We start from the raw sequence: 16,478 nt of genomic DNA, 5'->3' as shown, positions 1-16,478 counted from the left end.
CTTTTTCCCCTAATGTATCCTATTTTACTATAATAATTTCCTCATATCTACCATAGGAAGCTCTGGTTGCAAGGTTATAGTTAAGAATTGCATCTTTTATCAACTGAGTTATTAATTATATCTGTTTCCACGAACACCACTATAGGTTCCAAAATCCAAGGCAAAATCATTTAATACAATTAATGATTTCTGTGTTGTGTGATTTTAACAGGTGATTTAAGGTTTACAGTATACATCTTTAACTTATCACAGTCAATTGTCAAACGGTATCACACCACTTCATGTACTGTATAAGAGACTTCAAACAGTGCAATCCCATTTCTCCTCTCCCAGCCTTTGTATTATTGCTGTTACACATTTTATTTCTACATGTGTTACAAATCTCACAATGTAATGTCATTATTTTTGCTTTTAACAGTCAATTATACTTTTAAAAGATTTCAATATTAAGAAAAAAGTCTTTACCCACGTAATGACCATATCACGTATTCATCATTTTGTTGGGTAGGTCCAGATTTCCATCTATAATTTTCTTCCTGCTTGTAGGACTTCCTTAAGTATTTCTTATAGTGCAAGTCTAATGGTGATGATTCTTTTAACTTTTGTATGACTGAAAAACATCTCTATTTCATCACTGTTTTTGAAAGATATTTTCAATAGGTTAAGAATTCTATGTGGACCTGTTGTGTTTTTGTTTATTTTGGTAAAGAATGAAAAGATGTTACCCTACAGTCTTTTCAATTGTGTTGTTTCCAAGATCTATGGTCATCTTAATCTTTGTCCCGCTAAATGTATTAATGATGTATACTTTTTTTCTGGCTGCTTTTAAGACATTCTATCACTAACTGTAAGCAATTTGATTACAACGTACACTGTAGTTTTCCTCATGCTTTTGTACTTGAAGTTGGTTGAGCTCTGTGGATTTCTGGGATTAGAATTTTCATCAAAATTTTAAAACTTTTCAGCTACTAATTCTTTAATTTTTTTTTAACTATTCCTACCCCCAGGGACTCTAATTGCTCTTGAAGCTGTCCCACAGTTCACTGATACTCTGTTCATGTTTTACAGTCTTTTTTCTCTCTGTGTTTCATTTTGGATCACTTACATCATTGTTTTCAAGTTCACTAATTTTTTCTTCCACAGTGTCTATTCTGCCATTAATCCTATCCAGTGTATTTCATGTCAGATGTTGTAATTTTCATCTCCAGATGTTTGATTTGGATATTTTATATCTTCCAAGTCTCTATTTACCATGTTCAATCTTTACTATAACTTACTATATATATGGAACACTATTATAAAAACTGGTTTAATGTCCATTTTTATTAATTCATCTGTGTCAATTCTAGGCCAGTTGTGATTGATTTTTGTCCTCGTTATACATTAGGTTTTCCTGCTTCTTCATCATGTCTGCTACTTTTTTATTGGATGTCTGACATCATAAATTTCACTTTGTTGGGTGTCAGATGTTTTGGATGCATACAAATATTCTTGAGTTTTGTTCCAGGATGTGGTTAAGTTATGAGGAAGCACTTTGATCCGTTCTGGTCTTGTTTTTAAGTTTTGTTAGGTAGGACAAGAGCATCATTGGTCTTGAGTTACTTTTCCCCATTCCTGAGCAAAAACTTTCTGATTATTACTTCTAATGCCCCATGAATTATGAGGTTTATCATCCTGACTAGTGGGAATAGCACTATTCCTGGCTCTATGTGAGCTGTGAAGGCTGTTACCTCTAATCCCGTTGTCAATATCTGTAACATTGAAATTGTGCACACCTATGACTCAGAGCTTCAGTTATGGAGAAACAGTTGAAATGTATATTAGTAATCAACTAAAAGGCTATTCATTGCATCACTGTTTGAAATACTGGGAAAGGTAAAGCTTCCTGAATGCCAGTCAGTAACAAATACATTAATCGTAATAAATTCACATGATAATTACATGTAGTAGCTTAAATCAATGAACCTGAGTTATATATATCAATGTGGAAAGATCTGAAAAACAATGTTGCGTTAACCCAAAAAAAGCAAGTTGCTAAATGAAATATACATTAGAATGCCATTTATGAAAAGTTTAAAACAGAGACTACCATTAATTATATATAGGCACATATGGTAAAATTATAGGTTAGTCAAGATACTGTGGTAACAAACTTCTGCACAATCTCAATGGCATAACAAAACAAAAGGCTTTCTTCTGATTCATGCTGCATATCCCATGCTGAAGGTAAGGAAGGAAGGACGTTTTGCTCATTATAGTCACTCTGAGACCTAGGTTGAAAGAGGTTCTGTTACTTCCCCAATTACTTTAGCACAGGGAAGTGTGAGCAGGAAATCACATGCTGGCTCTGAAATCTTTCACCTGGAAGGGATACATGTCATTTTCACTCTCACTTCATTCATCAACAAGCAAATCACAAGTCCACTCTCAACTTCAAAGAGGCACAGGTAAGTACTATCTTACCTTGTGCTCAGAAGAAAAAGAACAAGAATTTGTGAACAGCTTTAATGGCTATCAAAATGTAATTGCATAAATTGGAAAATATGCACCAAATTCATCAGTGCCTGCCCCTAGACAAGGAGGCTGGGAGGGAATGGAATCAGAGTAGTAGAAAGTGAATTTCATCTTTATCTGTAATGTTCCTTTTTACCATTTTTTTTGAATCTGAAGAAATTCAACAGATCTACATGAGGGCTCTAGCTATGTACATACTTTGTAAAGACAAAATATTACCATTTGATAATTTGGGAGTGGATGTGTACATAGTAATTACATTATCCTCCATAATTTATTTTTAGTCTCAAAAGGATGCTTTTAAACAGCTGCATATTACATGCACAAAAAGGAAATAATCTAGTTTTTTAATCTCACAGATATAAAACTAATACCCAGAAAACCTAAATGAGTTTCTCAATTTCCCCAGCTAAAGGTCAAGTCATACAGTCTATTCACTAAGTCCAGTAACATACAATTAAAATCGAGGAACTCTGAGCCTATGAAGAACATTCACTGTAACAGAACATTCATTATAAAAATTCATAAGTCTCTAGTAACACTATATTCATTTATGCAATTAATATTTAGGATACCAATATTACCTTCAGAAAATAGACAGTGTGGGTTACATTCGAATGATTTAAGGCTTAAAAATTCCATGATTAGCTTAAGCATGAAAAGACACTGAGCTTTTTTGTTCTATAACGAGTACAGGGAGAATCAAAATGAAATTAGACACTTAGAATAGAAATCTTACCTGTTCGTTTATTTCTGTCCACATAACAATATTTTAAGTCATAGTCTTTTAACAAATCATGAACTTCCTGAAAGAGAAAAAAACACGAATTCAGTAAACATACAAATGCAGTTACTAGATAATCTAGCTCTATTAGCCTACCACCACCACCACCATTACCACCACCATGTCCCATGTAAAAAAAAAAAATTATTTCATGGATCCCCATTACTTACTTAAATTAAAGGTCTTCCAGATTCCCCAGACATCCTACACAAAGCCCACATTCCTGCTCAAATGGAAGATTCACTATCTCACAAGTATACCATGCACTGTTCTCTTTCTACTCACACTTATTCCTTGACGTAGCAGGAGGCAAACATATCACTAAATTTCCCAAACTTTGCCTGAAATCACATGCATCTTTATGAAATCTCAGCTCAAATGTTCTTTCATGAAGTTGCTTCTCATAATTTTCCACAGAATGTGACCTCTCCCACCTTTATGCTAACAATGGTCATAACTTTATTTATGCCTCTCTTGTGGAAATAAGTATTATACTTATTTCTATTTCTGCATGCTATAGAGCTTTTAACAAGTAATACACCTGTAGATGCTTAGAGCACAAACGTAGAAAAAATAAATTGTAAAAAAATAAAAATAAAATAGATTGTAAACCTGAGCTTAGAGATCCCTGGATATGAAAAAAACTAACTACTAAGGCATAGCATGCAGTTCCATTTATTTCCCCTTGGCTCCCCAAGATGTTTAAACTGGTTTATGGTTCATTCTGCTTCTATTATTAACATAGCCTAAACTTTTTTTTTCTGATAGCACAACCTCTATCCACTTGGGTGCCCAAAAGAGTAGATTTCCTCTATTTCCCTAATCCTTTCTGTTAGACTGATGGTACTTAGAAACAGAAACTGCATTTTACATATTTATATACTACTTGCATTGCTTTGCATATCGTAGGCACTCAAACATACATTAGAGTGAATATAATTGTTTCGTTGTTAAATCAATATGTGGCCCTGAAAAATTTTACTCATAATACATAACAGATGCAGTTACAATATATTCAAAGGAACTAGACTCTCACACAGGTAGACATTCTGACTCCAGATTAGAGAGTTACAGCCAACCTGTTCTATACTGCAAATGAATATGCTAAATATACACAGGTGCTATTATGTTAAGTATGTAACCTAAAATGCTGAATTCAATAATAATCTTATTATTGCTATTATTATAGTTATCACAAGGTATCAGGCACTGAATTCACTTTTATTAAAAATCAGGAAAAACAGAGTAAAGTTGCCAAGGACATATAGCTAGTCACTTGCTGAGAGGAGATTCACTCTATCTGTCTGGCTCCAAGGATGACACTCAACCTCTATGCCATATTGACTTATTCATTCCAGCATTAACTTTAAAAACAGTACACTATCATTAACAGTTATAAAAACAATACCACGAGTGCCCTAATAAGTAATCATATGAGTAATATAGAAATGGATAATAAATAAGAAGACAGAAGTTGAAAAATATTCTCCCTTTTAATCCAACCCAAGAGGGAGAAAAGAGTGATATAATAGGCAAAGCATGAAAACAAAGCTGAGTGAAAAAAGGTAATCCTCTATGATATGAAAGATAAAGTTGATAATTTAGTATTCTTTATTACCAACCAGTATTAGAAATTTTTTAAAATACATACACTTACCAATTTTGTAAAATAGCATTTGGTGAATCATATGGTACTATGCTCAATTATAAAGATTAGTTTACATATTACTATGGTAATTTTTATCTTGTAAGCTTCAACATTTTCTTGAACTTACAAAAACATCTACTGTACTCTTCAATAAGAAAACATCACTGTCTCAGCAGCATAACATATGCATCTTGCCAATCAACGAATTTAATACTTTATATAGAAGGTGACACGGTTTTTTTGAAGGGATCCAGTGTGTGCTTTTAGTTGCATAGAATCTAATCTCTCATTTCACTGGTTAACAGCCATCAAATGCTAGATAAAGAAAACATGATACTGCTCTTCACATTATCAAGTATCTGTAAACAAATGACATGTTATGTTACTCATTCAGCTAAGAGAATTACCTAAGAGAGCTTAAGTATTCAAAGGTGCATTTTGCAACTTAGAAATGTTATGTTGAAAACACCCATATCTCTACTCATAGCTCTTCTATGTATCAGATGTGGGATACAGAGTTTGCCAACTGCGAAACCTTACAAAGCTTCCTACAAAGAAAAACCCAATTATTTTTCTCCATGCCCTGGTTGCTTTGACCCAGGCAAAAGTGGGTCATCCCTCAATTTGAGCCTTGGTAAGTTGGCCAAATTAAAAACTTAAAACCTGAAAGAGAGTCCCAATAACCATTTGCCAAAATAATTCTATGCTCCATCACACAGAACTAAAAGGACTAAAATTAGAGCCTCCCTATACTAACTTAGCTTTATAACATTTCCACTAACTTACTGATTTTAAGGAATAAAGTAGCACCTTTGATGAAAACACTTTGTCATCTGACTGCCAATGTCAAGTTAAGTTAATAAAAATTGGTATTAGATAGCTTTAGTAAACTATTTCCATACCAGATTCAGTGTCACCTGCTGAAGTGACAAGTTTTGCACATATGAAATGCTTTCTGGAGAGACGATCAATAGCTTCCATGGCAAAGCAGTCAGTCAATGACGTCATCACCCCACCCTCAACAAAAAAGTTAACCATTGTTCCAGCTGATCTAGACCTCCTTGATGAAGCATGGCCTTAGTTATAAACCTGAATTACATTGTCTTCTAAGCTCTTCACAGACTTAGTTTCAGTTTTTAAAAAAATGTTTTAAGAAATGTTTTCATAGATTAAAAAACACTACTTTTAAATTTCAGTGCTTTGGACTGGAAATGGAAGCACGTTTTTGTTCATTTTCTTTTAAAATTTTATGTAACTTGATAAAATGAAAAGATGAAACACCAAACACCAAACATATATTATGAGTAGTAATAAACAAAATAAATACCCAGAAACTCACTACCAAACTTGACGAGAACACTGACATTTGCATCCACCTCTGCATTCCTTCACTATCCCATTCCTCCACCTTCCTCCTCACATGTAGGTCTGTATCTGTATGTAGGCATGTGGCCCCAAACATTATATTGTTTTGTATTACTCATTTGTGAGTTTTATAAAATTGGTATTATGCTATTTTTAAACTTCTGTGCCTTGATTCTTAGACTCAATATTATGTTTCTAAAATTCACTCATTCCACCTGGCTGTCATTCATTTATTCACTGCTGTTTGCTATGCCATTCTGTGACTATAGTATAATTTATGTATCCATTTTACTATGACTGATTATTTGGTTTGTTTCCAGGTTGTTGTTCACTGTTTGAATTTTTAAAAAACTACCATAACATTCTTGTAAATTTCACTTATCCCCTTGCATTCATGTGCAAGAGCTCCTCAAGGAGAGAAATTCCTGTGGTGTACGTATGCATATGATCAACTTTATGAGGAAGTGCCAACTTGTTTGCCAGAATGATGTACCAGTGTACAGTCCCATCAACAGTAGATAAAAGTCCTGCTGATCCACTCCTTTCAATGCTTGGTGTTATCAGACTTAAGTTGTGTCAATTTAATGGATATAAAATTGTGTCTCATTGTGGCCTTAATTTCCATTACATGATTAATAAACAATGTAGGGCATTGTGATTATTAGTTTTATGTGTCAATTTAGCTACAGTGTCCAGTTATTTAATCAAACACTAATATAGGTGTTGCTATGAAGGTATTTTGTACATGTGGTTAATATCTATAATCAGTTGACTTGAGTAATGGAGATTATCTTATATAATGTTGGGGAGAGGAGGACTTCATCCAATCAGTTGAAGGCCTTATGAGCAAGAAGTGAAGTTTCCTGTAGAAGTTCTGCCTCAAGACTACAGCATTAACAGCTGCCTGAGTTTCCAGCCTGCTGGCATGCCCTACACATTTTGGACTTGCCAGCCTCCACAGTCTTGTGAACCAAATCCTTAAAATAATATATTCTGGATTCTCACCTTTTGTTGTTAACTGTATTATGAGTGTATTCTCCTACAGTGTGATGAGTCATTGTGTTTATTTGTGGGATTTTGGGTGAAGAGAAGTTTTTCATTTTAATAATATCAAATTTATCAATCTTTTTCCTTAAAATGTAGGCTTTTTGTGGCTTAAGAAGTCCTTTCCTAAACAAGGTCATAAAGGGATCTTATTTCATCTTTCAATCATTCTAAATTTTTTCCATTTACATTTCAGTTTTTAGTGAGTTTGGAGTTCATTTTTGTGTGCTGTTTTTTTTTCCCTTTTCCCATATGGGAAAATAGTTTTTTTTTTTCCTATATGGGTAATCAACTATTAGGACACCATAATTGTATTGTCCATCTTTTCCTCAATGATCTGCAGGGCTGTCTCTCTCATATATCAACTTCCAAGATATACATGGATATTTTTGTCTCTTGCTTCTGGTTCTATTGGACATTTTGCCTATTCTGTGCTAATATTATACTGTCCTAAATAAAGCTTTATAAACATTGATATCTGACAAAACAAATCCTCTTTTTTATTGCTGTACAATATTCATTTTGGAATATACAACAATGTAACTCATCTCCTGTTGATGGGAATTTGAACTGTTTCTAGTTTGGGGCTATCAAGAATGAAGCTGGGAGTATAATTGCTGAGTAGAATATACTAAGGAGTAGAATTGCTAAATTACATGGTAGGGGTGTGTGTGTGTGTGTGTGTGTGTGTGTGTGTGTGTGTATTTTTGTTTTTTTGAGATGGAGTTTCACTCTTGTCGTCCAGGCTGGAGTGCAATGGTGTGATCTCGGCTCACCGCAACCTCCACCTCCTGGGTTCAAGTGATTCTCCAGCCTCAGCCTCTGGAGTAGCTGGGATTACAGGTGCCCATCACCATGCCCAGCTAATTTTTGTTTTTTTTAGTAGAGACAGGGTTTCTCCATGTTGGCCAGGCTGGTCCTGAACTCCTGACCTCAGGTGATCCGCCCGTCTCAGCCGCCCAAAGTGCTGGGATTACAGGCGTGAGCCACCATGTCCGGCTGGTATATGTTTATCCTTAAGAGACACACCCAGTTTTCCAAAAATCTGTAACCAATTTGCACACTTATTGGCAGAATATGAGTGCCAATTGCTCTACTTTCTAGCCAACACCTGGTCTTGCCTGTCTTTTAATTTTGGCCATTCTGGTGGGAATGGTGTATCCAACTATGGCCTTAATTTGTATTTCTTTGACTTATAATGATATTACTGACCTTTTAATATGCCATTTGGATATTCCTTTTTTGTGAAATGCCTGTTGTAATCTTTCATCTATTTTTAACTGGGTTATCTTTTTTATTAACTCGTAGAATTTTTCTTTTTTTTGAGATGGAGTCTCGCTCTGTCGCCCAGGCTGGAGTGCAGTGGCATGATCTCGGCTCACTGCAAGCTCCACCTCCCTGGTTCACACCATTCTCCTGCCTCAGCCTCCTGAGTAGCTGGGACTACAGGCGCCAGCCACCTCACCCGTATATTTAGTAGAGACGGAGTTTCACCGTGTTAGCCAGGATGGTCTCGATCGCCTGACCTCATGATCTGCCCGCCTTGGCCTCCCAAAGTGCTGGGATTACAGGCGTGACCCACTGTGCCCAGTCAACTTGCAGAATTTATAAATTCTGGATATCAGTCTCCTTTGTCAAATATTGGTATTGCAAATATCCTCATCTAGCCTGTGGTTTGCCTACTGATTTATTAGTAATGTCTTTTTGATAAGAAGACATTAATTTTGCCAAAGTCCCATCTATCATATAATATCTTCTTTTCTGGTTAATGCCTTTTGTGACCTCTTTAAGAAATCTTTACCTACCCAAGGTCATGAAGACACTGATCTATCTTTTCTTCTGGAATGTTTATTGTCTTAACATTTACATTTAGACTATAAGCCATCTTAATAGAATATTTCTAAGTGGTATTAGGTAGGGGTCAAGGTTCAATTTTTTTGATTTGAATATCAAACTGCCCTAGCATCATCTGTTGAAAAGACTATTCTTTCTACTACTGAGTTGCTATATTCTGTGGGTTAATTTCTGGACTCTATTCTGTCCCACTAGTGTACTTGTCTAGTCACTGTACCAATATCACACTGAACAAATTATTTGAGCTTTATAGTAAGCTTTGAAATCTGGTAGTGTAAGTCTTCCAAGTTTTTTTTTTTTCAAAAGTATCTTGGCTATTCCAGGTCACTTGCATTTCTGTACAAATTTTAGAATCAGTTTTCATTAAAAAAAAAACCTACTAGGATTTTGAGTGGATTCCATTGACACTATAGATCAGTTTGGGAACAACTGACATCTAAATGATACTGAGTCTTCCAATCCACAAATGTGGAATGTTCTTCCATTTATTTAGGTCTTCTTAAATTCTTCTCTGAAATATTTATAGTCTTCAGTGTAGAGATTTCGCATATTTTTATCAGATTTTTTAAATTGCATTTGACATTTTTGATGTTATTTGAAGTCTATTTTTAAAATTTGACATTTAATTTTCTAGCAATTGCTAGTATACAGAAATATCATTTATACTTGTACATTGACCTTACAAGTATCAATCTTAGTAAATTCATTTAATTATTATCAACCTCCTAGGCTCAAGTGATCTTCCCACCTCAGCCTCCTGAGTAGCTGGGACTACAGGCATGTGCCACCACTAGGCCCAGCTAATTTTTTTTTTTTTTGGTAGAGACAGGGTTTTGGTTATGTTGCCCAGGCTGGTCTCAAACTCCTGGGCTCAAGCAATACACCTGCCTCGGCCTCCCCAAGTCCGGGGATTACAGGCGTAAACCACCGTGCCTGGCCCACTTATTTCTAATAGCTTATTTATAGATTCTTTTTTATTTTCTATATACACAATCATGTTATCTGCAAATAGACAGTTTTACATCTTTTTTTATATCTTTAAACTTTATTTATCTAGGTGTATTGTGTTAGCTAGGAATTCCAATACAGTCTTGAATAGCAGTGATCCCTGTATTGTTCCTAATCTCAGAAAGAAAGCTGTCAACATTTCACCATTGAATATGATTGCTTTTGGCTTTTCTAGATAATCTTTATGTCTGAAGAAATTCTTCTCTATTCCTGCCTGCTGTAAGTATTACGATGTATGAGTGTTAAATTTTATAAAGTGCTTTTTCTGCACCCATTGAGATGAGTTAAATCTCATCTTCATGATAGTTAATCTCCAAACTCTTACTTCCATTTCAAACTTCTCTCCCAAGCTCCAAGCCTATATATTCCCTTCTCCCTCTTTTGAAACTGCATTTGGATGTCCCACACCAGACAATGAATTTTGGGGGGGGCCCAACGCAGTCCTATCATATATGATGTTGGCTGAGTGGATGTGGTATCAATTTTATCTTGGCTAAATTTTTAACTGCTTTCAATGCAGGGTTTTGGCTGGAAAGTTCGTTTCAATACCAACTTTTTGCCAGGAGCACATTTTGACTTGGCCTAAAATAAATTAATAAACTTTCAGCTTTTTATTGGCAGTATAAAAAACAATCATTTACTGATTATTTACTTTATCCCAGGCACTTTATAGACATTATCTCATTTAATCCTAACAACCTTAAGAATTTGATTTTAAAGCTGGATTTTATCATCCAGATTTTAAAGATGAGAACATTGAGGCCTAGAAAAACTAAGTGACTTGTACAGACAGTTTGTGACACAGCTGTGATTCAAACCCAGTTGACAGACTCTACAGCAAACACAACTATACAGTGGTGTACCTTAAGAATTGCCATTACAAAAACAAAATCTATAAAATATTCATTCCCATCACATTCCTAAAGCTCACTGCATCACTGGCCTCCTAATCTTAGAATGGGAATTGGGGCCAAGAACAACATTTGGGATGTCTACCATGCAAATTCCTTGGAGGTAAAAGCAAAAACAATATAATTTTACTTTCTGACAGGTAGAAATCTCATTGCATCACTCCCTTGTTTAAATATATCCCATTAAATAAAATCCAAATTCCCTAACATGCCCTATACACTTTCAATCATCTAGTAATGCTAAATGTGCCAGCCCTATATTTTACCACTAACCCTATCAAACTCTATGCCTCAGCCACAGTGAACTAATTTTGGCCACGCTTTTCCTTGTCTTTAGGTCTTGGTACATCTTGTTACTAATGCCATGGATGTTCTACATCCCTTTCTTCCCCTTCTTTCCGTTAGCTACCATCTCTCTCCCCAGGACTCAGGTGACTTTCTCTGTCTTAAACTAAAGGTTCCTGAAACATACATCACCCAGAGATTCTGGACTCTGAAGTTGATCTGGGGTTGTCTCCCTTGGGAGAAGGGTTTGGAAAGAAAGGCACAGACTGCTCTCTTTCTAACGTGAGAGAACATATAGCTGAACACAGGGCTGCCCAATAACAACTATATTTCTCAGCCTTCCCAACAAGTAGCTTCCCAGCATGTGACTTAGGCTGTGGCCATGTGACTCCAGCCACTGAACCTCTCAAGTCTGGATTAGATATCTGTGTTTCCACAGGCTTTTTTTTTTTTTTTTCCACATCACAACCCTTACAGCAGCTATCATCCATATTTTAACTGCTTATATGCTTATAATTTTCATAAGATTGTAGGCAAGTATCACATATCTGCCTCATGCATAAACAGATCTCCAACATCCAGCACAATATCTAGCAGAAAGTAGACCTTTGATATTTGTTAAATATATGACATTTTGTTTCCATAGATTACCTTTATCAACTCTAATGCTGCATCTTTTTTTCTGAGATTATTTTACGACATTAACATAAACCAATATGTTTAGAGTGCTCAAAAAACCTGAAAATAGGCCGGGCACGGTGGCTTACACCTCTAATCCCTGCACTTTGCGAGGCCAAGGCGGGTGGATCATGCGGTCAGGAGATCGAGACCATCCTGGCTAACACAGTGAAACCCAGTCTCTACTAAAAATATAAAACATTAGCCGGGCGTGGTGGCGGGCGCCTGTAGTCCCAGCTACTCGGGAGGCTGAGGCAGGAAGATGGCGTGAACCCGGGAGGCAAAGCTTGCAGTGAGCCGAAATCGCGCCACTGCACTCCAGCCTGGGCGTTAGAGCGAAGCTCCGTCTCAAAAAAATAATAAATAGGCCGGGCGCGGTGGCTCACGTCTGTAATCCCAGCACTTTGGGAGGCCGAGGCGGGCGGATCACAAGGGCAGGAGATCGAAACCATTCTGGCTAACACGGTGAAACCCCATCTCTACTAAAAATACAAAAATTAGCCGGGCGTGGTGGCGGGCGCCTTGTAGTTCCAGCTACTCCAGAGGCTGAGGCAGGAGAATGCCATGAACCCGGGAGGCGGAGGTTGCACTTAGCCAAGATCGCGCCACTGCACTCCAGCCTGGGCAAAACAGCAAGACTCCGTCTCCAAAAATAAAAATAAAAATAAAATAAATAAAAATAAAAATAAAAAATAAAAAACCTGAAAATATACTTACACCTGAAAATATACTTACTGTACACTAACCTAATTTGTAACTCACTTCTTCAAAAGAAAATACTTACATAGCTCAAATTAATTAACATTACATATCTAACTATAAAAGGTTCTCCTTGAGCAGTTTTTGCTTGCAGACATCCCAAGAAAGAGGGCTTTAATCTTCAAGAGATAGATTTAGATAGTCATCCATCCAAAGAATAACCATACATAAATCACAATCTCTCCTCCAATATTTAAATATTTAATATGTAAATATTAAATATTTAAATATTTTTCTTTCAAATATCACCTGGATATACTGTATTAGTTATCTATTATTGTGCAACAAATGACTCCAAATTAAGTTGCTTAAAACAATACCTATTATTCTCTCATAGTTCTGTAGATCATAAGTCCAGGCAGGCCCCATTGGGTTTTCTGTTTAGGGTCTCCCAAGGCCAAATCAAGGTGTCAGGCAAGCTAGGCTCTTATATGGAGACCCTAAGGAAGAATACATTTCCACTCACTAAGGTAGTTAGCAGAATTTAGTTCTTTGTGGTATTAGGACTGAAGTCCCTATTTTCTTGCTGGCTGTCAGCTGAAGACCCTCTCAGCTCCTAGAAACTGCTTTAACATCCTTGCCCATGCCCACTCCATCTTCAGACCCAGCAACAAACAGCGAATCACGTCTTTCTTGTGCTTCAATCCTCGAATTTCCCCTAAGGCTTCCAGCCCAAGAAAATGCTCTGCTTTTAAAGGGCACATGTGATTAGATTGGGCCCACCTAGATAATCTCTGTTTTGTGTAACCCTAAATCAACTGATTAGTAACCTTAATTACACCTGCAAAAAAGTCCCTTTTTGCCATTTAACATAATCACAGTGTGATACCTCATTATAGTCAAAGTCCCATGGATTATGGTAGAAAATATGGGGGACCATTTTTAGAACTGTGGCTATCACAATTGCACAAATAATAGATAGCATTTACTGTACACTTACATGTACTTCACACAAAATATCTTAACTTAGTATCTTAGGTTTCAAAGCTCAAACATGGTGAGGAGGGCACTGTACATGAAGGAAGCCAGCAGAGTGTCAGAACCCAGGCAAGGTGATGGTGCCTTCCAGCTACTAGAGAAACCCAGTGCAGGAGGATGGAGCCTGAATTGGGTGAAGTGGGTATCTGTGGGGGGAATGGGGCAAGCATCTGCAGCGGTGATGGGAGATGCCTATGTAAATGGGGTTGATCAAATAAGTAAATAAAATAAGGATAATGAACACCAAACTTTTCACTTCAGATGAAAGAGTCACAAATACAGAATGGGAGAAAACTGGAATGATTAAAATTTAATGTATTGGTATGAACACATTACTTTCAATAGAAATATAAGTGTTTGTGTGTGTGCATATACACACATTTATATATTCTCTAGCTTTGTCTACTAAGAGGACCTGAGAGCACTGACACCCAATGGCAATGAGTATAGCTAGTTTCCAGATCTTGGTTTCTAGGTAGCATTTTCCCCCTAAAAGAAACTAAGCACTGTAATAGTCAGCTCAGGCTACCCTAACACACTACCACAGACTGAGTGGCTTAAACAACAGAAATTTATTTCCTCACATTTCTGGAAGCCAGAAGTCCAAGTCAAGGTTCCAGCTGATTCAATTTCTGGCTGGCTTGCAGGCAGCCACGTTATCACTATGTCCTCACATGGCCTTTCCTTGGTGTATGAGTGGAGAGACCAAGTTCTCTGCTATCTCTTCTTATAAGGACACTAATCCTATCAGATCAGGAACCCACCCTTATGACCTCATTTCATCTTAATTACTTCCTTAGTGGCCCCATCTCCAAATATAGTAACACTGGGGGTTGGGGCTTCAACATATCAATTTGGAGAGAGACACAAACATTCAGTCTAAAATAGGCACCTTCATGAAATGGCTGATTCTAGGGCTGGAGCACAGAAACTACAAAATAAGCTGCAATGTCCTGTTGTGTTGAAAACAAAGGACATACTCAGTGAATGCTGGGGACACGTCAAAAGGACATAGGACCCTTCCCTTAAGTGTATGCTGGAATTAATGTATTATTTCCAAAGAATAGTGAATGGGAAAAATAGTATCTTTACAGAGGAGTGACTTAGCAGACATCCCCTTAAGCAAATGATCAAGGTTAACATCACCAGTGGTAAGTCATGTTAATGTCATGTACCCCCTGATATGATGTCATCAGAAGCTACTTCACCTCTGTGGTATTCTTCCCCAAAACCTATAACCCCAATCTTATCTTGAGGAAAAACCTCCTACAAACCCAAATTAAGAGACATTCTAAAAGATACCCAAACAAAACCATCAGGGTCATAGACAACAAGAAAAGACTGAGAAACTGTAACAGAATGGAGACTAAGGAGATAGGATAACTAAATGCAATTATGTATCTCAGACTGAATCATGGAACTTAAGTGAAAAAACTAATGAAATCTAAAATAGAGTCTGTAATTTAGTTAAAATAATATGCCAGTGTTGATTTCTAAGTTTTGACTGATGTACATTGGTTGTATAAGATGTAACATCAGGGGAAACTGGGTAAGGGATACATGGGAACTCTATGTGTTATCTTTGCAACTTTTTCTGCTAATCTAAAATCACCCCAAAATAAAAAGCTTATTCAATAAGAAGACACAGGGGCCAATTTGAAGCTCCCACTCTCCAAATCTAAAACAAAGCATCGAAATAAGTAATGGTAGTAGGAATGCAGCATAACCCATTGAACTAAATAGGAAACCATGAGCCTATATTGCCATAAATAAATGAATAAACTGAATGCTTGAAGGGGAATAGGATATTTAAACAGTCTCAAAGAATTTCCCCTCAAAATCCTTATAGATTACAAGCAGAAAACTTTACATGGAGATGCCTGGCAGATACCACTTTAATCAAAGGGAATCAAAGTGATCAAAGTGAACTTTATCAACAATAGGACAAATGTAAAACATGTACCACCTTGTGATGTTCCTGCTAAAGACATAAAACTTGACTCTAATCATGAAGGAACACCATACGAACCAAAATTGAAAGACATTCTACAAAAAGTGCAATATATGATCTGAACTGAATTCTTTCACTGTAAAGGACATTGATGGGACAACTGCCAAAGCTTAAATGCATCTGAGGACTGGGAGGCAGTAGTGTGACTTTGAGGGTAGCATTGCAGTTATGTTGGAAGTTGTCCTAGTTTGTAGGACATACATAATAAAGTATTCAGGGTGGTTGGGCATTGGGTCAGCACTCTCCAACAGTTCAGGGGGAAAACATTCTTTACGCTATACTTAAAACATTTCTGTAAGTCTGAGATTATTTCAAAGTGTAAAACTTCCCAGATTCACATGTTCTTGCTTATTGCCATCACTTTCTACTCTAGTTCTGGCTACAAAAAAAAAAAAAAAAAAAAAAAAAAAAACTATGAAGCATAAAGTCAGAGAAATGGAGATTACTTTGGAATCGAAAGCAAGTAGTTAAACTGGTAGGGTAATAGAATATCCAAAGTCCAGGAAATAAAGGCAAGCCAGGAACTAAGAGCAGATAATCACTGCAGTGGGTTGAGGAAAGATATAAAAAGCAATTGTCTAAGGGTAGAGCAGATAGGGTGGGGTACGGTAGGGGCAGGAGAGAGTAGCAGGAAGAGAG

At 36.5% G+C, this 16,478-nt stretch overlaps 1 protein-coding gene across 3 annotated transcripts in view; it reads right to left on the bottom strand.

The window, feature by feature from the left end:
- Nucleotides 1–16,478, bottom strand: part of RAVER2 (ribonucleoprotein, PTB binding 2) — an 88,158-nt gene that overhangs the window by 61,257 nt on the left and 10,423 nt on the right. For all 3 annotated transcript variants that reach the window (NM_001366165.2, NM_018211.4, XM_011541706.3), the window contains exon 2: nucleotides 3,254–3,320. In NM_001366165.2, coding sequence (NP_001353094.1) covers nucleotides 3,254–3,320 — 67 coding nt within the window. The remainder of the gene's footprint in view (nucleotides 1–3,253; nucleotides 3,321–16,478) is intronic.

This window comes from Homo sapiens, chromosome 1 (assembly GCF_000001405.40).
Source record: "Homo sapiens chromosome 1, GRCh38.p14 Primary Assembly".
Classification (NCBI taxonomy): domain Eukaryota; kingdom Metazoa; phylum Chordata; class Mammalia; order Primates; family Hominidae; genus Homo; species Homo sapiens.
Note: the sequence above shows the minus strand (reverse complement) of the source record. Positions and strands in the feature narration are given on the sequence as shown.